This window comes from Homo sapiens, chromosome 12, assembly GCF_000001405.40.
Source record: "Homo sapiens chromosome 12, GRCh38.p14 Primary Assembly".
Classification (NCBI taxonomy): Eukaryota; Metazoa; Chordata; class Mammalia; order Primates; family Hominidae; genus Homo; species Homo sapiens.
In genome coordinates this window covers 53,664,539-53,684,099 of record NC_000012.12, presented here as the reverse complement: position 1 = coordinate 53,684,099, position 19,561 = coordinate 53,664,539, and the positions used below count along the sequence as shown (strand labels likewise).

The 19,561-nt window shown below is 45.9% G+C and overlaps 1 protein-coding gene across 13 annotated transcripts, besides 2 other annotated features; it reads left to right on the top strand.

The window, feature by feature from the left end:
* The first annotated feature begins 2,676 nt into the window (after positions 1-2,676).
* Positions 2,677-18,930, top strand: ATP5MC2 (ATP synthase membrane subunit c locus 2). Of its 13 annotated transcripts, none has more exons than NM_001369754.1 (6): positions 7,770-7,924; positions 10,288-10,404; positions 11,455-11,524; positions 14,152-14,229; positions 14,759-14,952; positions 18,672-18,930. In NM_001369754.1, the coding sequence occupies exons 3-6, from the start codon at positions 11,486-11,488 to the stop codon at positions 18,784-18,786; spliced, it is 426 nt and encodes a 141-aa protein (NP_001356683.1). In that variant the 5' UTR covers positions 7,770-7,924; positions 10,288-10,404; positions 11,455-11,485; the 3' UTR covers positions 18,787-18,930. The 13 variants fall into 13 exon arrangements, 10 of the variants coding, with proteins under 10 accessions (XP_047284945.1, NP_001356683.1, NP_001356684.1 ...); NM_001369757.1 differs by lacking the exons at positions 7,770-7,924; positions 10,288-10,404 and adding exons at positions 8,017-8,047; positions 17,348-17,465; NM_001369753.1 differs by lacking the exon at positions 7,770-7,924 and adding an exon at positions 8,017-8,047 and having other exon boundaries at positions 10,307-10,404.
* Positions 7,526-7,755: an enhancer, noted in NCBI's record as "active region_6427". NCBI's record gives its function as "activates an Ori minimal core promoter by ATAC-STARR-seq in GM12878 lymphoblastoid cells {active_cell/tissue: GM12878}" and the evidence as "EXISTENCE:reporter gene assay evidence [ECO:0000049][PMID:35858748]".
* Positions 7,866-8,315: an enhancer, noted in NCBI's record as "active region_6426". NCBI's record gives its function as "activates an Ori minimal core promoter by ATAC-STARR-seq in GM12878 lymphoblastoid cells {active_cell/tissue: GM12878}" and the evidence as "EXISTENCE:reporter gene assay evidence [ECO:0000049][PMID:35858748]".
* Positions 18,931-19,561: the final 631 nt, after the last annotated feature.

Genomic DNA, 19,561 nt, shown 5'->3' with positions numbered 1-19,561 from the left:
GAGAGAGTGGTCAGGAAAGGCGTCTCTGAGGAGACGATATCAGAGACGAGGCCTAAATGAAATGAGAGAGCCAGCCAAGGCATAATCTGGGGGAAGAAGGTTCCAGGAAGAGGGAATAGCAAGGGTCCTGAGTGAGAAAATCTTTGCTGTATCTGAAGTTCAGTAAGAGCCTATTATAGCTGGACCCTTGAATTTTGTCTACAAGTACTATAAAACTATTAGAAGGTTTTAAGTAGCAAGATCCAATCTATATTTTCCTTTTTTTTTCTTTATTTTTTATTTTTTAGAGGCAGAGTCTTGCTTTGTTACCCAGGCTGGAGTGCAGTAATGCAATCATAGCTCACCACAGCCTCAAACTCATGGGCTCGAGCTGATCTACATTTTAAAAGACCAGTTTAGCTACTCACTGTGTGGAGTGTAGACTGTGGCCAGGCCAAACCGGAATCAAGGAGATCAGCTAGGAAGTATTGTAGTGAACCAGCAAGAGATGTCAGTGGCTTGGACCAAGTTAGATTTTGGAAGTGGTAAGGAATAGGCAAATGTGGGAGATATTTGTATTCTCAATGTTTAGCATGATGTCTGCCTAGGCATTCAATAAATAATTGATGAATTAATTAAGAATTAATTAATCCAACTCAATAAAGACTGAGCTAGAACTGAAATCATCCATCCTTAGATCTTCTACTAAAATCCCAACCCCTCCACAAACTGCCATTAACAAGGATCAGTACTAGGACATATATTTGTTAATTCCTAAAAATCAATAGGAAGATAACAAATAACCCAATAGGAAAATGGGCAAAAGACATACATGACTAGGCATTTCACAGAAGACAGAACATGAATGGCCAATAAATATATGAAAAGATACTCAACCACTCAACCTCATCAACAATAGGGGAAATATAAATTCAAACCACCATGAAATTCCTTTTTTTTTTCTTTTTTGATATGGATCTCGATCTGTCACCAGGCTGGAGTGCAGTGGCACGTTCTTACAGGTGTGTGCCACCACACCCAGCTAATTTGTGTATTTTTAGTAGAGACGGGGTTTCACCATATTGGCCAGGATGGTCTTGATCTCCTGACCTCCTGTAATCCCAGCACTTTGGGAGGCCGAGGTGGGAGGATCACGAGGTCAGGAGATCAAGACCATCCTGGCTAATACGGTGAAACCCCGCCTCTACTGAAAATACAAAAAAAAAAAAAAAAAATTAGCCAGGCATGGTGGCAGGCACCTGTAGTTCCAGCTACTCGGGAGGCTAAGGCAGGAGAATGGCATGAACCCAGGAGGCAGAGATTGCAGTGAGCCGAGATTGCACCACTGCACTCTAGCCTGGGTGACAGAGCGAGACTCCAGCTCAAAAAAAAAAAAAAGAGGCCGGGCGCGGTGGCTCACGCCTGTAATCCCAGCACTTTGGGAGGCTGAGGCGGGTGGATCATGAGGTCAGGAGATCGAGACCATCCTGGCTAACAAGGTGAAACCCCGTCTCTACTAAAAATACAAAAAATTAGCCGGGCGCGGTGGCGGGCGCCTGTAGTCCCAGCTACTCGGGAGGCTGAGGCAGGAGAATGGCGTGAACCCGGGAAGCGGAGCTTGCAGTGAGCCGAGATTGCGCCACTGCAGTCCGCAGTCCGGCCTGGGCGACAGAGCGAGACTCCGTCTCAAAAAAAAAAAAAAAAAAAAAAAAAAAAAAAGAAAAGAAAACAAATTGAGATTTTCTAGAAAAGTTGAAGATATTCATATCTTACAACCCAGAAATTTCCTTTTTTAAATTTTTCTTTTTTTATTTCCTGTCTTACCTGAAACAATTCCCTTTTATACATATACCCTGAAGAAATTCTTCCCCATGTATACAGAGACGTGTTCATAAATGTTCAAAGCAGCATTGTCTGTAATAGCAAAAGGATGAAAACAAGTCCAAATGTTCATTAACAGGAGAATTAGTCAATAAATTGGTGGGTTAGTATACATCAATGAAAATGAATAAAGTACAACTACATACATCAACATAGATGAAACATAATGTTGAATAATGTTGAGCGAAACATAATGTTGAATGAAAAGGGCAAGTCAAAGATATCTACAAACAGTATTATATCACTTTTTTTTTTTTTTTTTTTTTTCCGAGACAGAGTCTCACTCTGTTGCCAGGCTGGAGTGCAGTGGCACAATCTTGGCTCACTGCAACCTCCTCCTCCCAGGTTAAAGCGATTCTCCTGCCTCAGCCTCCTGAGTAGCTGGGATTACAGGCACACACTGCCACACCCAGCTAATTTTTGTATTTTTAGTAGAGACGGGGTTTCACCATGTTGGCCAGGATGGTCTCCATCTTCTGACCTCGTGATCCCCCCACCTCGGCCTCCCAAAGTGCTGGGATTACAGACGTGAGCCATCGCACCCGGCCTATATCACCCTTAGAATGGTTTTTTAAAAAGGAGGAGGGACATAATAAATAATATATGTTAAAAAAAGAAAAACTAGGAAATGGTAAATATAAGATTCAGGGATTAGCACAGAAGAGAAGCACATGGGGCCCTTCAGTAGTATTGGTAATTTTTTTTTCTTTTTTTGAGATGGAGTCTCACTCTGTCACCCAGGCTGGAGTATAATGGCGCAGTCTGTGCTCACTGCAACCTCTGCTTCCCAGGCTCAAACAATTCTCCTGCCTCAGCCTCCTGAGTAGCTGGGATTACAGGTGCCCACCACCATGCCCAGCTAATTTTTGTATTTTTAGTAGAGATGGGGTTTCACCACGTTGGCCAGGCTGGTTTTGAACTCCTGACCTCAAATGATCCTCCTGCCTTGGCCTCCCAAAGTGCTGGGATTACAGACATGAGCCACCATGCCTGGCCTTGTTTTTTTCTTTTTCTTTTCTTAAATTAGGGCGTGCTGTTGCATACAGTGGCTCATGCCTGTAATCCCAGCACTTTGGAAGGCCAAGGCTGGTGGATCACCTAAGGTCAGGAGTTTGAGACCAGCCTGACCAACATGGTGAAACTCCGTATCTACTAAAAATACGAAATTAGCCAGGTGTGGTGGTGCACACCTGTAGTCCCAGCTACTTGGGAGGCTGAGGCAGGAGAATTGCTTGAACCCAGGAGGCGGAGGTTGCAGTGAGCCAAGATCATGCCACTGCACTCCAGCATGGGCGACAAGAGCAAAACTCCACCTCCCCCACAAAAATAATTAGGGCGTGGTTTAATGGGTGTCCATTTTATTACTATGCTTCATAGTTTATATAAAATGTCAGTTCTGGAAAAGTTGTTTTGCTTTGTTCACGCCTGTGTCCTCAACACCAAGAACAGTGCCTAGCACATAGGAGATGCTCAAAATATATGTGTTGAATAAATGGATATACATTACTTGTATTATTTTATATGAATCAAATATTTCATAATTTTTTTTTCAAACATTTTGTTTTTATTTTTTGTAGCAATGGGGTCTCGCTATGTTGCCCAAGCTGGTCTCAAACTCCTGGGCTCATGCAATCTCCCTGCCTCAGCTTCCCAAAGTGCTGGGATTGCAGGCATGAGCCACCATGCCTAGCTAATTTTCTTAAAAGGAAAAAGCCTACTTTAATTATGTTGCCCCCTTGACTATTCTAGCTTGAAGTCATACTGCTTCCACAACTCCTATTACTCATATAGCCTATTAAATCCTGCTGCATATTATAGTTATATGTGTACACGTCTTTCTTACTGATTTTAAATTTATGAAGACAATGGAGTATGCTTTCTCATTTTTTATACCCATTCACAATATGTAGCACAATACTTTGCACATAGCAGATGCTCAATAAATATTGGTTGTGGCTGGGCATGGTGGCTCACACCTGTAATCCCAACACTTTGGGAGGCTGAGGTAGGCAGATCGCTTGAGCTCAGGAGTTCAAGGCCAGCCTGGGCAACATAGTGAAACCCTATCCTTACAGGAAATACAAAAATTAGCCGGGCATGGTGGCGCATGCCTGTAGTTCCAGCTACTTGTGAGGCTGAGGCAGGTGGATCAATTGAACCCAGGAGGTCGAGGCTGCAGTGAGCCATGATCGTGTCACCGCACCCCAGCCTGGGTAACAGAACAAGACCCTGTCTCCAAAAAATAAAATAAATTAAAAAATAAACAAATTCAAAGGAAGGTGAAGTTCTTCCCCAGCAAAAATGTTTTTGGTCATCCCTCTGCCACCATCTCTCCTACTGATTCCTCCCTCAGAAGCCTGGATACCAGTGATCCTTTCCCTTCCTTCATCTACTGTTTTCTTTCTTTAGAAGTAGGGAGGTTTACCGATGTCTCACAGTCCTGATGTCTTAGGGAATTGATTTAGCAAGGAAAAGTAGAAAATATATCAGTCAGTTCCCACCAGCCCATCACAGCCCAGGAGCTTGAAATTAACAATCACTAATAAATAGAGAAGCTCAATATGTATAAAGTATTGGCAGTGCAAAGTTTCCACTTTAACTTGCAGAAAAGTGCCTGTTTAGCAGAAAGAAAGAAAATCCTGGAAAGTTAACACTGGATGAAATCTTAGAGATCACCTACTTCTCTCCCTGATTTTTCCAAATGAGGAAACTAAAGCTTCGAGAGATGAAGTAACTAGCATAGTTATTCAACTATTTAGTAGCAGGGCTAGGACTAGACTCCAGTCTCCTGCCTCGAAGACAGCTGTTCTATCCATGCCACTTGCTGGCAACATGTGCATCTAGCAAAACACATCATAAAGTATCCTCATCTTAAGCCATCAGGAATGGAAATCAAACCATTTAAACCCTTCCTCTTCTCTCTAGCAATATTTTTTCTTCGCATTTCTCTGTGCCCTGGTCTCTCTCTCTCTCTCTCTCTCTCTCTCTCTCTCTCTCTCTCGTTTTTAAAATCACTCCTGTTTCTTTCGTGGCTCTTTCTCATTGTGGCATGCCTGCATGAGTATCTTGATTTTTCTGCTCTAAGCTATGGTTTCTTGTCCAAAGAAACATATATAAACAAATCAAAACCCTTCCTTGGTGACCTTTGTAGAAAAGGACACTTGGAATTTCTATATGAGAGAAGCTGAACCTCTCTCTTAGCCTATCCAGTCAATTAAAATGAGTCTGTGGCCCCCCTGAGGGTTGTTAACCAATCCTAAGAAAGGAAAGATCAATCTCATTTCTTCGTCACCACTGGGCAGGGAGGCTGCCAACCAGTCAGAATCTGCCACTCACAGTCATTAAAAAAACTGGCCAATCAGTCCAACCTTGTTATATGGTCTGGTAGGAAAAGAAAGGGACTGATTGGAAAGGATAGTTCTGTCTCCACACCCTTTCCTTCCTGGACCCCGGTTTTCCCTTTGTGAAGTGAAAGAAGGACCCTTCCCCAAGCCTATAGTTAAGAAGATCCTCCGACCCTCAGCTAAGCTTCTCTTGGATCTTTTGCTGTCTTCAAATTCACCCCTCCCCTTACAAACCTCCTTTTTGGAGCCTCACTGCTCCCTTGCGGATTTGATTTCTTGCTTCAAGCCTCGTAGTAATAGTCCCAGGATTCTCAGCCTCCCCTCAGATCTCCACTCACCAGCAAGTAAAATAACTTGTTTTGTATGACTTATGCAGGTGAAAACGTTTTTAAAGTGTAGTTGAGTCTCTTTCAGGAGATACTATCTCAAGGACCTTGCAATAAACAGTCCATATAGGTAGCAGTGCAGAATTGAGTTGCAATGCCCTTAACTATAGAAGCAGTGATGATGATGGTGATGATGGTGGTGATGGTGGTGGTGGTGGTGGTGGTGGTGACGATGATGATTTTAATGCTAGCAATTACTGAACTCTTACTGGGTACCAAGTACCTTGCTAAAAGCTTCATATGTATTATCCCAATATTGGCTGTGTGATAAGTACTATTATTCTTCTCAATTTACATAGGAGGAAATAGATTTAGAGGGGGTTAAACAGCTAGCTCAAGATCACACAGCAATTTGGGAACCCAGATTTGTCTGAACGCAGAACCCATTATTCTATGAGGGCAAGGGAGTGTTAAACATCGCAGGCTGTAACAACTTTTGGAAAGAGCCAGCTTTAGCTTCCTCCCAGGCCCCTTCTCTGATCCTCCTCTGGGATTGTTAGCCATATCTGAGTGTCTAAATTGTCGCAACAGCTGCAACAGCCGTTTGGGGGTGGTGGCTCCTAAGAACTGTGGACTTTCTCTGCCACTGAGGATGTGAAGCTGACAGCTTAAAAGAATTCCGTTTTGGTGGGAATGGAGATGTCTGGAGACCTCAGGGGATAAACTTGTGTCTTTGCTAGCCTGTCTTTCTCCTAACAGCATCTCCACAGTGCCTGGCACCACTTGGTACTTGATAAATACCTGTTGATTGATTCCCAAAGATCCCAGTTCCATTTCCCACGTACCTGCCCGCTCGGGGCGCAATCAACAACTAAAACTGGAGATTTGGGGATTTCAGAGGAACCTGTGAGAATCCTGATGGAGCTGGAAATGCGAATTTAGGAAAGACAGGCAGTCTACCACCCTCCTCTTCTCGCCCGCTTCTCCTATTTCTCCCCACTCCTTCCCCTCCCTTTCAGGAGCTCAGGGCCATAAAAATGCAGATGGAGGATCGGTGTGAAATAACGGGCCCATATAAATCCCTCTGCCGCCCGCCTGCAAGATGGATTGGCCGCATTGAAATTCCTCCGCGAGGATAATTAAACTCGGGGCCTCATCCGGGCAAAATTACATTCCTGTAATGGCGTCGCTCGGGGTCCCGGGAAATTGCTCCGTGGGCTTTCAGCGGCGGTTTTTATCGCCGGCCGGGGTGTGCCTGTCTGCGGCTCGCCTCTCCTCCGGGACCGTAAAGCTGCTGCCGTGATTTATCCTCCCCTTCTCCCAAATCCGATTAAATGGAGGAGCTCGGGGCCGGGGCGCCGCGGGGCCCGGGAGCCGGGAGGGGGCGGCGGGAAGGACGGGGCCAAGGAGGGGAGGACAAACGGCCCCTCAGAGAGTGGCGGATTTGCCTTTATTTACAGCCGCGGCTTTCTTTTTATTTTTTATTTTTTATGGGGTTTGGTGAGCTTTTCCCGTCTTTCTCGTGCTGCGTTCAAGCACGATGCAGGGACGGCAGGGGTTTGGAACTGGATAGGCCTTGTCGCCCTGTTCCAAAGGGCAGGGCAGGTCCTGTCTGGGAGACAAGGAGGCCTAGGAAAGATGAGGGCCAGGAAGCCTCCCCCACCTCCTTCCATCAGGGGAAGGGCGAGCGAAAGGGGAGAGAAAACCCACGTTCAGGAGAGCATGGGGGCGGGAGGGGAGGGCGCTGCTTATCCCAACTCGCGTAGTTGAAACCTGAGCAGAGGCTCGGGCAAGCCTGGAGTGACCTCGCAACCTTACAGCGGGTCGCAGGTGCCCGTTATTCCTAGACTGTCCCAGGAGCCAGGAAAGAGGGATTCGGATCATATTTAACCCTATCTTCTGGCTCGCTGATGCTGCTTCTCTCATGGTTTATCACCGGAATGGAAAGGAGGAAACGGGGAGTGGGGGAAAGGGCGAAGCCACCAGAAGCAGCTGCGGCATTTTGCTGACTATTCGCCCATGGAGCCGGTTTGCCATCCAGTGATGCCAGAGTCCCGGCGCGACAGAAAGCAGGACTCCCAAGATCTTCCTCCTGCTGCATTTTAGGCACTGAACCCCAATCCCGACCGTATGTTAACACTGAATTCTGAGTAGGAGTTTTGTTTTGGCAGTGTGACGACTGCGCATGCTCGGAAAGGGGACGCAAGTCCGAGATCCCAAACGCGGTACAGACCAAACCGCAGTCCACGTTACGGATCGGCTTACTCCGCGGAGTTGGCCTCATTTCTGCAGTCGGCGCTCCCTGTAGTTTCTCCTCTCGAACGCCAGGTGGAGCAACCGGCCGGATACCGCCACAGCCCTGGCAGGCGGCGCTGTGATGCCTGAGCTGATCCTGTATGTTGCAATCACTCTATCCGTGGCTGAGCGACTCGTTGGCCCGGGTCACGCATGCGCTGAGCCTTCCTTTCGCTCTTCCCGCTGCTCCGCCCCTCTCTGTCTTCTCTGCAGTGGGAGCAGGTAAGGCCTTGGGACCTAGAGCCCTCTGTGCGCTGCGCACGCGCGCGGGACACCTCACCTTGCGCGGATGCTTTGAGGCGCTTACCTTGCGTGCTCCCACCCTGGTCCTCTCGCCCTTTCTTGCTTCCGCTATCCCTTAGCCTTAGAGTTGGCTCTTCCGCGTGCCGGTGACCTCCAACCGCGCGGGCCTGGCGCCATCTTGGATGTCTCGCAGGGGGAGGATACCTTGGAGCTGGCCAAAGTTAGATCCTGGAGTGCTGCTTTTCACCTGTTCCACCCAGTCCCTGCAAACACTCTTTTCTCGCCCTCTGGCCCTTTCAGATTGTGACAACCCCCAGGCTCTCCCCTCCTATCTCTGCTTTCTCTTCTCATCCTGACTTGTGCCTTCTTTATTCTGAAATCTCCAGACTTTAGGCCCCAGAACCTCAGGTGCTCCGAGCAATGGAGATAGTGGATCGTCTAAAGTCACCAATCCCTCTAGTCAGCACCCCTCAATTTAAAAAGTAAACCTTGAACATGGTAGAAGTGGGAAAAAAAGCCAAAACATCGCCTCCCGTTAGGTTGTGGCTTGGGATAGCTAAGGCAGAAGAGAGAGGCTGGTTGCTTTGGAATCACTAGTTATTTACCAGTACCTTTCTCGCATCCCGGCACGCTGGTGAAGTTGTAAAAGTCACAAATGGTGGGCTAGAGATGAGGGTTTCTGTTGAGGCAGCAGGCCCAGAAAGGTGGGGTAAGGCCAAGCTAGTGGGGCCAGCATGAGACCCTGCCTGCCAGCTTTCCTGTGAAGGATTAATTAACCTCCCCAGATTCTGCTGTTACAAGGAAAAGAAGGTTTAAGGAAAGGAATAGTTAAGTTACTACCCCTGTGACTCATCTACACTGAGGAAAAAGCCCGTGATGATTTTGGAGTCCTGATTCTGGATAGTGCCTTTGCCCAAGTTGTAGGCTAACAATTGCAGAGTTGCCATGGTTAGATAGCCAATGGTGGGATCACTTAATTGCCACCCCTTGTTGTGGGTTTATTATATGCCAGCACCACATTAAACTCTTTATGTATGTTAATTTGTAAATGAACATACTTAATCCCCCTAAGAGCTGCATTTTACAAAGAAGATAATAAGGTATAATTCCCTTAGAAAAGAACCACCCCTTCTTTTTCTAAAAGCCTTAAAGAACTATTGGATTTTGACCCAAGAAAACCTGAATAGTACGGCAGCAAAATTGGGTTAGAGTTACATATAGGCAAAAATCAGAGTTCTAGATAGGACAAGAGTTGAAGACATCCATTAACTTAAAAGTAATTAAGGCTGGGTGTGGTGGCTCACACCTGTAATCCCAACACTGGGAGGCCAAGGTGGGAAGATCTTTTGATGCCAGGAGTTCCACAATAGCCTGGGCAAAAAATAAATTAAGAGCAATTAAGATGTTGGATTCAGAAGTGTTTTAACCTGGGACAATCTGAGTTCAGTTCATTTAATGAAGTGGTATTTAATAGCCCTAAGCATTCACTGAGTATTTCAGCCTGTGACATATTAGAAAGCATGTAACTTAAAAGATCCAAGTTCAAGTCTATCCTCTACCACTACCACAGTTTCAAGACTGGGTTTAGGGTCACGCTCTTGCGTTAAGTATACCTAATAATCATCTGGGAAACTTGTTTGAAATACAGGGCACTTGAGCCTTATTCCCAGAGATCTTTTTTGTTTGTTTATAGACAGGGTTTCACGTTGTTGCCCATACTGGACAACTGGCGTGATCATAGCTCACTGAAGCCTCCAGCTCCTGGGTTCAAGCAGTCCTCCTGCCTCAGCTTCTGGAGTAGCTGGGACTACAGGTGCACTTCCACCTCACCTGGCTAATTTTATGTTTTGTAGAGATGAGGTCTTGATGTTTGCCCAGGCTGGTCTCAAACTCCTGGCTTCAAGTTATCTTTCCGCCCCAGCTTCTCAGTGTTGGGATTACAGGAATGAGCCACTGAACCTAGCTCCCCCAGAGATCTTGACCAGGAAGGTCCAAGTTGCGCCCAAGAATATGCATTTTTTAATACGTACACCACCCAGATAATTCTAGTTCAGATGGGCTTCTCACTTCACTTGGAGAAACCCTGCCTTTAGGTTTTTAACTCACCTTCTGTTTGAGGTAAGTTCACTTCTACCAACTTAGATACCTATAGGGTGTCAGATCTTCTTTAGATCTTGGGGAGACACAATTTAATACTTTTTTTTTTTTTTTTGAGACAGTTTCCCTCTTGTTGCCCAGGCTGGAGTACAATGGCGCAATCTTGGCTCACCGTAGCCTCTGCCTCCTGGATTCAAGCAATTCTCCTGCCTCAGCCTCCTGAGTAGCTGGGATTACAGGCATGCACCACCATGCCCGACTAATTTTGTATTTTCAGTAGAGACGGGGTTTCTCCATGTTGGTCAGCCTGGTCTCGAACTCCTGACCTCGTGATCTACCCGCCTCAGCCTCCTAAAGTGCTAGGATTACAGGCGTGAGCCACTGCGCCCAGCCACTAATACCTTTTGGATAGACTAATAACAGAGTTCCTCCTTGATCTTCCTCATCTTATTAATACAGGAAATTGAAGTATTTTCAGGAATCAGATACTTCCAGGGATCAGCAAAGAGATTGTTGGAGACCTTCCAGTGTCTTGGCCTTCAACAAATATCTCCCAAAACTACAAAGACTCTAAAGGGCAACTTTTTGTTTGTTTGTTTGTTTGTTTGTTTGTTTTGAGATGGGGTCTCGCTCTGTCACCCAGGCTGGAGTGCAGTGGCGTGGTCTCGTCTCACTGCAACCTCCGCCTCCTGGGTTCAAGCAATTCTCCTGCCTCAGCCTCCTGAGTAGCTGGGATTACAGGCGCGTGCTACCACACCTGGCTAATTTTTGTATTTTTAGTAGAGGTGGGGTTTCACCATGTTGGTCAGGCTGGTCTCGAACTCCTGACCTCGTGATCCGCCCGCCTCGGCCTCCCAAAGTGCTGGGATTACAGGTGTGAACCACGTGCCCAGCCTAAACGGCAACTTTTAAAGGTCCAGATGATGAAGTCTTGAGAAGCGTTCCTTTTGAATAAAAACTAAGGAAAACTTAGGCAAAAGACACTCTGGGAAAATTCCTGTGGCAACTGCAAATCATGAGGCTATGGAAATGGGTAACAGGTCTTACCTGAACCCAAGTGTTCACTTGTTCAGACCAGGGGAAGTCACTTCATTATAAGGAAATCTTGGGAGCTGTGTGGGGTTTCTGGAAGAAGTCATGACTTCAGGGTTTTAATTCTATTTCTGCCAATGACTTAAGGTCAGTCACTGTTTTCTGGGCCAGTTAAGCTTTCTAGGGCCCCTTTTCTGCTAATAAGGATATAGTTTAGTGAATAAGGAGCGTTTACAATACTGCTTCTGTAATTCCAGCTCTCCTGCCACAGCTCCTCACCCCCTGAAAATGTTCGCCTGCTCCAAGTTTGTCTCCACTCCCTCCTTGGTGAGTACCTGCTTTTCTGGGAGAGTTTTAAAGGAGAGACATCTTGTCTCTCTCTTTCCATCAGACCTTGTTCTTCACAGCAAGGCTGGGGGAGAGGAGGTCCAGGCGGGCAGATCACTTGAGGCCAGGAGTTCAAAACCAGCCTGGCCAACATGGCGAAACCCCATCTCTACTAAAAAAACGAAAACCAGTTGGGCATGGTGGCGGGCGCCTGTAATCCCAGCTACTCAGGAGGCTGAGGCAACAGAATAGCTTGAACCCAGGAGGTAGAGGTTGCAGTGAGCCAAGATCGCACCACTGCACTCCAGCCTGGGCGTCAGAGCAAGACTCTGTCTCAAAAAATAAATAAATAAGTAAATAAGTAAGAAAGATTCTTGGGGAGGGAAGGCCCTCTGCTATGATTGCGTAACAGGATAGAGTGAATGCTTGCTAGATACTCTCCTGCCCCATATCCCTTGGCGGCCAGTTAATTTTTTTTTTTTTTTTTTTTTTGAGACAGAGTTTCGCTCTTGTTGCCCAGGCTGCAATGGCGCGATCCACCACAACCTCCGCCTCCCGGGTTCAAGCAGTTCACCTGCCTCAGACTCCCAAGTAGCTGGGGTTACAGGCACCTGCCACCATACCCAGCTAATTTTTGTATTTTTAGTAGAGATGGGGTTACACCATGTTGGCCGGGCTGGTCTCAAACTCCTGACCTCGTGATCCGAGTAGAGACAGGGTTTCTCCATGTTGGTCAGGCTGGTCTTGAACTCCTGACCTCAGGTGATCCGCCGTCCTCGGCCTCCTAAATTGCTGATATTATAGGCATGAGCCACCGTGCCTGGCTGTGCCCAGTTAATTCTTACCCAGCCATCTTAGGAGAAGAATAGAGATGAGAATCTAGACCAAGATCAAGTTATTCCTACTCCTGAAACTATATGTCGTGTAAGCTGGCCATCCAGAGTGGTAAATATAAGTAGATTACATAACTTGGACTGAGTATGCACTGTGTGTAGGATCTTGTCCTGAGTTAGCCATAGCTAAGGAGTTCATTCTGGGACTTAAATTTGGATAGGAAGCTAAAATTTACATAAATACACATTGGAAAAGTATTTGACTCAGAAACAACAGTATGGAAGAAATTTTTGAAATAGTAGCTAGAGGAGGCGGTTGGTTCATTCACAAATAAAAAGGAGTACCATTTATTGAGCATTTACCATGTGCCTTAGCACTCACTGAGTTTACTAATTGGTATACATAATCTCATTTACTCTTCAAATCAACCCCAAGAGATGATATTTTGATTTCATAAATGAGAATACAGGCTTAGAAAGGTTTAAGTGACTTATCCTGAGAATACACTGCTGATAATAGAATTAAGATTTGAATCTCACTTTATCTGATGCCTAAAGCCCTGGCTATGAATCACCATGTGTCTGTTTTGGTGTCACTGGCTTGGGGTTAGTCAGAAAAGGCTACCAGAAGGAGGTGAGTTTTGAGCATGAATCTTTGTTCCTATTTTCCAAAAGGATGTGTTCAGGGAAAGTTACTGGCTTCTTTCTTGTGGGCTGACCATTACCCATACAGAAGGCCCCCAACTTTAGATTAAGATTTTTTTTTTTTAACTTTATGATGATGCAAAAATGATATGCATTCATTAGAAACCATACTTCGGGCTGGGCGTGGTGGCTCATGCCTGTAATCCCAGCACCTTGGGAAGCCGAGGTGGGTGGATCACCTGAGGTCAGGAATTCAAAACCAGCCTGGCCAATATGGTGAAAACCTGTCTCTACTAAAAATACAAAAATTAGCTGGGCGTGGTTGCCGGCGCCTGTAGTCCCAGCTACTTGGGAGGCTGAGGCAGGAGAATTGCTTGAACCTGGGAGGTGGAGGTTGTAGTGAGCCGAGCCGAGATCACGACACTGCATTCCAGCCTGGCGATACAGCAAGACTCCGTCTCAAAAAAAAAAAAGAAAGAAAGAAAGAAACCATACTTCGAATTAGGAATCTTTATCTTTTCCCAAGCTAGCAATGTGTGGTACAATACTCTGTTGCAATACTCAGCAGGAACCCACAGCTCCCAGTCACCTGCCCAATCACAGGGGTAAACAACCAGTACTCTACGGTGTACTGTGTTGCTAGGTGATTTCACCTAACTGTAAGCTAATGTAAGCTAGTGTAAGCTTTTTGAGCACATTGAAGGCCAGACTATGGTGTTTGGTAGGTTAGCAGTATTAAATGGTTTTTCAAAGTATGATGGATTTATTGGCACATAACCCTATGGTAAGTTGAGGAGCATCTGTATATATTTCCCTTGTTGAGTGAGGCAAATGCTTCTGAGGCTTAGATTTCTTCTTGTTCTCAAGAGCTATAAAAGGATATAGCAAGGTTGGATGCTCCCTTATGGCCCAAAGGAAGTAGACTTTCTTTCCTTAAAGCAAAGTCTGAGAAGCAAGAGAAATGGTGTGGTTCTTTAATTTAGACTTTGCTAAAAGGAAGAATGATCCAAAACTCTAACGTACATGTGAAGATGGAAAGGCCATGAGAGGAAAGAAAATCTTGTCTGATGATGTAACAACGTGGCATAGTTCTGAAACTCCTCTCCAGTCTTCCTTGACCTTCCTGCCCCTGTATGTCATTCCTGCTAGGTCAAGAGCACCTCACAGCTGCTGAGCCGTCCGCTATCTGCAGTGGTGCTGAAACGACCGGAGATACTGACAGATGAGGTACCTTACAGTGGAGTTGGGACTGTGGTTTTGGGGGTGATGGGTGGGGAGGGTTACCTGCCAGAACCAGGAGGTAGAATGCTGAGGACAGTCATCACAGGCTAAAATTCATGAATGGCCAAGGCCATGGGCTTTAGGTGGAGATGGAGGACACTTAATACACTGTATGCTATAGTGCTCCAGCTTTTGCCACTGGCAGCACATGCCCCTGTGCACTGCTGCTAACTGGTATTACTTGGCCTAGTCTACTGACTTCAGTTGGAAGCATTTAGTCCTAGGAAGATGATCTCCTTGGGGCAGCAAGAATAGACTAGGGCCTCAGTCTTACACTTCTTGACCACACCTGAATCTTAAAGGCATTTGAAGTCTACATCCTACGTTAAAAGGTTCTACTTGCCAGCATTTTAGGGCGTTAAACAATTTTCTGTTTGGGGGAGAAACAATGGGATTTGGCAGCTTAAAGGGTTTTAAATGGTACAAAAGTTACCAAAGCAAAAAACTTTACCTTCTACCTGCCTCTTTTTCACAGAGCCTCAGCAGCTTGGCAGTCTCATGTCCCCTTACCTCACTTGTCTCTAGCCGCAGCTTCCAAACCAGCGCCATTTCAAGGGACATCGACACAGCAGCCAAGTTCATTGGAGCTGGGGCTGCCACAGTTGGGGTGGCTGGTTCTGGGGCTGGGATTGGAACTGTGTTTGGGAGCCTCATCATTGGTTATGCCAGGTAAGATAAGTTGGACCCTCCACTGGTTATCTGATATGCTTTCCAAAGGTCAGAAAATATTTGGGGGTCTAGAACTATACTATCCCACACTGTAGCCACTAGCTACATGTTGTTTGTTTGTTTGTTTGTTTTGAGACAGTAACGCTCTGTTTCCCAGGCTGGAGTGCAGTGGCGCAATCTCAGCTCACTGTCACCTCTACCTCTGGGTTCAAGCGATTCTTGTGCCTCAGCCTCCCAAGTAGCTGGGATTACAGGCACACACAATGACGCCCACCTAATTTTTGTGGTTTTAGTAGAGATGGGGTTTCGCCATGTTGGCCAGGCTGGTCTCAAACTCCTGACCTCAAGTGATCCACCTGCCTCGGCCTCCCTAACTGCCAGGATTACAGGCATGAGCCCCCGCGCTTGACCTGAATTTTAGTTTTAATTAATTAAAAATACATAGTTTCAGTTTTCAGTTCTTCAGTCACGCTAACCATATTTCGAGTGCTCAGTAGCCAGATGTGGCTAGAGGCTACCATATTCAACAATGCAAATATAGAATGTTTGGCTGGGCACAGTGGCTCACTAATCCCAGCACTTTGGGAGGCCAGGGCAGGTGAATCGCTTGAGGTCAGGAGTTCGAGACCAGCCTGGCCAACATGGCGAAACCCCATCTCTACTAAAAATACAAAAATTACCTGGGTAAGGGGGGCGTGCACCTATAATCCCAGCTATTCAGGAGGCTGAGGCAGAAGAATCGCTTGAACCCGGGAGGTGGAGGTTGCAGTGAGCTGTGAGCCGAGATCATGCCACTGTACTCCAGCCTAGGTGACAGAGTGAGACTTTGGGGAAAAAAAAAAAAGAAAAAAACAAATATAGGCTGGGCGAGGTGGTTCATGCCTGTAATCCTGCACTTTGGGAGGTCAAGGCGAGTGGATCACCTGACGTCAGGAGTTTGAGACCAGCCTGGTCAATATGGTGAAACCCTGTCTCTGCTAAAAATACAAAAATTAGCCAGGCGTTGTGGTGGGCGCCTGTAGTCCCAGCTACTCGGGAGGATGAGACAGGAGAATTGCTTGAACCCGGGAGACAGAGGTTACAGTGAGCCAAGATGGTGCCACTGCATTCCAGTCTGGGCAACAGAGTGAGACCATCAAAAAAAAAAAAATTTATATATATATATATATATATATATATATATATATATATGTGTGTGTATGTATGTATGTATTAGAATGTTTATATCATTGTGTCATTGAAGAAAGTTTCATGAACAGCTTTGGTCTAGAGCATGTGTTGGCAAACTAAGGCCTAAGGGCCAAATCTGGGCCATAGCCAGGTTTTGTATGATTGAGCTAAAAATAATTTTATGGCCGGGTGTGGTGCCTTACGCCTATAATCCCAGCACTTTGGGAGGCCGAGGCGGGCGGATCACGAGGTCAGGAGTTCGAGACTAGCCTGGCCAACATGGTGAAACCCCTTCTCTACTAAAAATACAGAAATTAGCCAGGCATGGTGGCAGATGCCTGTAATCCCAGCTACTCAGGAGGCTGAGGCAGGAAAATCACTTGAACCCTGAAGGCGGAGGTTGCAGTGAGTAGAGATCACGCCACTGCACTCCAGCCTGGGCAAAAGAGTGAAACTCCATCTCAAAAAAAAAAATAGTTTCGCATTTTTAAAAGGCTTCATTTTTGTTTTAAAGCAAAAGAGACTATATGCGGCCCACAAAACCTAAAATTATTTACAATGTGGCCCTTTACAGAAAAAGTTTACCTTCCCTGTTCTAGAGACTCAGTGAACATAGTGGCTTTACTGCTATTTTTTCCCATCTCTGGGAATTTCCCTCTGTCACTCCTGGGAAAACTGGCACTGCAGCCAGCCCCTGGTTTCTGACACCTGGGACTGTTTAGTACTCCCAGCTCTGGATAACTCAGTTAAAACCAAATTAATCCTCTAGAGACCAGGAAGTTCTCTTAATGTCTTTTGAGAAATAGAGTTCTTTTTAAGAATTTGTATTAAACAAGAAGTCTGACTGCTGCTTTATTCACTATTCTGTTAAATGTTGGTGTCGATTTACCTTACCCATCAAGACTTCTGGAGGTATCAGAGTAAGGGAAATACAGATTATATATGGGCCTTCAACACTGGGAGTCCTTTATCCATACTACTTCAACTCATAAACCCCATAGACCATTTGTAACTTCTTTTTTTTTTTTTTTTTTGAGACTGAGTCTCGCTGTCTCCCAGACTGAAGTGCAGTGGCACAATCTCAGCCCACTGCAATCTCTGCCTCCCGGGTTCAAATGATTCTCCTGCCTCAGCCTCCCAAGTAGCTGGGATTACAGGTGCCCACCACCACGCCCGGCTAATTTTTTATTTTTTTATTTTATTTTATTTTATTTTTTTGAGACAGAGTCTGACTCTGTCACCCAGGCTGGAGTGCAACTGTGTAATCTCAGCTCACTGCAACCTCTGCCTCTCGGGTTCAAGCAATTCTCTTGCCTCAGCCTCCCAAGTAGCTGGGATTACAGGTACGCACCGCTACCCCCAGCTAATTTTTGTATTTTTTTTCTTTCTTTTTTTTTTTTGAGACAGAGTCTTGCTCTGTCGCCCAGGCTGGAGTACAGTGGCTGCGGTCTTGGATCACTGCATCCTCTGCCTCCCGGGTTCACGCCGTTCTCCTGCCTCAGCCTCCTGAGTAGCTGGGACTACAAGCGCCTGCCAACACGCCTGGCTAATTTTTTGTATTTTTAGTAGAGACAGGGTGTCACCGTATTAGCTAGGATGGTCTCGATTTCCTGACCTCGTGATCTGCCCACTTCGGCCTCCCAAAGTGCTGGGATTACAGACATGAGCCACTGCGCCCAGCAATTTTTGTATTTTTGGTAGAGACAGGGTTTCACCAGGTTGGCCAGGCTGGTCTCGAACTCCTGACCTCAAGCAATCTACTCATCTCGGCCTCCCAAAGTGCTGGGATTACAGGCGTGAGCCACCGCGCCTGGCCTAATTTTTGTATTTTTAGTAGAGACGGGGTTTCACCATGTTGGCCAGGCTGGTCTCCAACTTCTGGCTTCAAGTGATCCGCCTGCTTTGGCCTCCCAAAGTGCTGGGATTACAGGTGTGAGCCACCGCACCCAGCCCATTTGTAGTTTCTTAAAGCCCCAGATCTTCTGACTATTTGAAATGAGAGAACATAATCTGTCCCTCTTACTCTTGTCTTCTAGAAGAGCGGTGTTCCATAAATCCTTAGGATTCTGAGGTTATGCCCCAGAGACTGTCTTAGAGAATAAAGGGGAGACCAAGCCGTTAAAATTTCCCCACTACTTTTGTACCATTGCAGTTTGGCTTTTAGATGTTTACTATATTGGAGTTCTGCTTAAAGTTTGAAAACACTGCTCTAGATAGACCCTTCCATCCTATTTGGGCCCTGGATATTAAGTGTCTGGGCCAAGAGGTCTTAATTTGTGGTAATGAGATGGGTGAACCATTAGTGAAGGTCATGATTATACCTGGGCCATGTTACAGGATTTTAGATTGCCTGCTCCCCCTTCATTCAGTTCCTGTAGAGCCTTTGGGGAATCAGGGCAAGAATTTGGGCATGATGGTGTTACCCTAAAAGCTTCTTTATTATGTGAGATAATCTTGAAGAGGGGGATTCTCCCTGAGCCCATCTTAGATATTTATCCTTTTCTTTGTGTGAACTAGAAATTCAGTCTTTTCTCTTCTCCTTCTACCAGGAACCCTTCTCTGAAGCAACAGCTCTTCTCCTACGCCATTCTGGGCTTTGCCCTCTCGGAGGCCATGGGGCTCTTTTGTCTGATGGTAGCCTTTCTCATCCTCTTTGCCATGTGAAGGAGCCGTCTCCACCTCCCATAGTTCTCCCGCGTCTGGTTGGCCCCGTGTGTTCCTTTTCCTATACCTCCCCAGGCAGCCTGGGGAACGTGGTTGGCTCAGGGTTTGACAGAGAAAAGACAAATAAATACTGTATTAATAAGATGTTTCTTGAGTCTCCTGTGTATATTTCTTTTCCACAGTTGGCTGAGTGCCTTCGTGAGAGTACAAGGCCCGAAGGGTAGTGATGGTGCTAAACTCAACATGGATTTGGCTGAGCTCACTTTTTCTTAATTCTGTTTCAGGAAAGCTTTATTTGAAATAGCATAACATTTTAAATTATTTTCACCTGGCATGGCCTGCTACTTGCCTGGGAAGATTGGGGTCAGTAGCAACTTCAAGTTCTGGCTTAAAATGTTGGCTAATAGGCTTTCTGTTTCCACTGTCACTCTCCTGGCTCAGGCCCTTATTGTCATCCACCTCGTCTATTGCAAGAACCTCTTAACTGGCCTTCTGCCTCCAGTCTCTTCCCTCCAGCATTTACTTCTCCTTACCACTGCCAGGTGAATCCTCCTTAAGCATAAGACTGGTTTTATCAGTTAATGGTTCAAAAAGTCACCTCAACTTTCTCTGCTTTATCTGTTTAGTCCTATACACTACATAAAGTGACTGTCATTTTTCAGATGTTTTCCTGTCTTTACCATATCTTCCTGCCTTTTCCTTTCTCTGCTCATTTCTGCTTTCTTTCCCTGCATCTTTGCTCACTTTCCTCTTTTTCGAACTCTGTTATCCCTGA

Excerpts from the sequence above, each read along its gene's own strand:
- ATP5MC2 (NM_001002031.4), top strand. Across the intron at positions 11,525-14,151 it reads TTGTCTCCACTCCCTCCTTG|GTCAAGAGCACCTCACAGCT; the intron begins GTGAGTACCTGC and ends CATTCCTGCTAG. Across the intron at positions 14,953-18,671 it reads CTCATCATTGGTTATGCCAG|GAACCCTTCTCTGAAGCAAC; the intron begins GTAAGATAAGTT and ends TCCTTCTACCAG.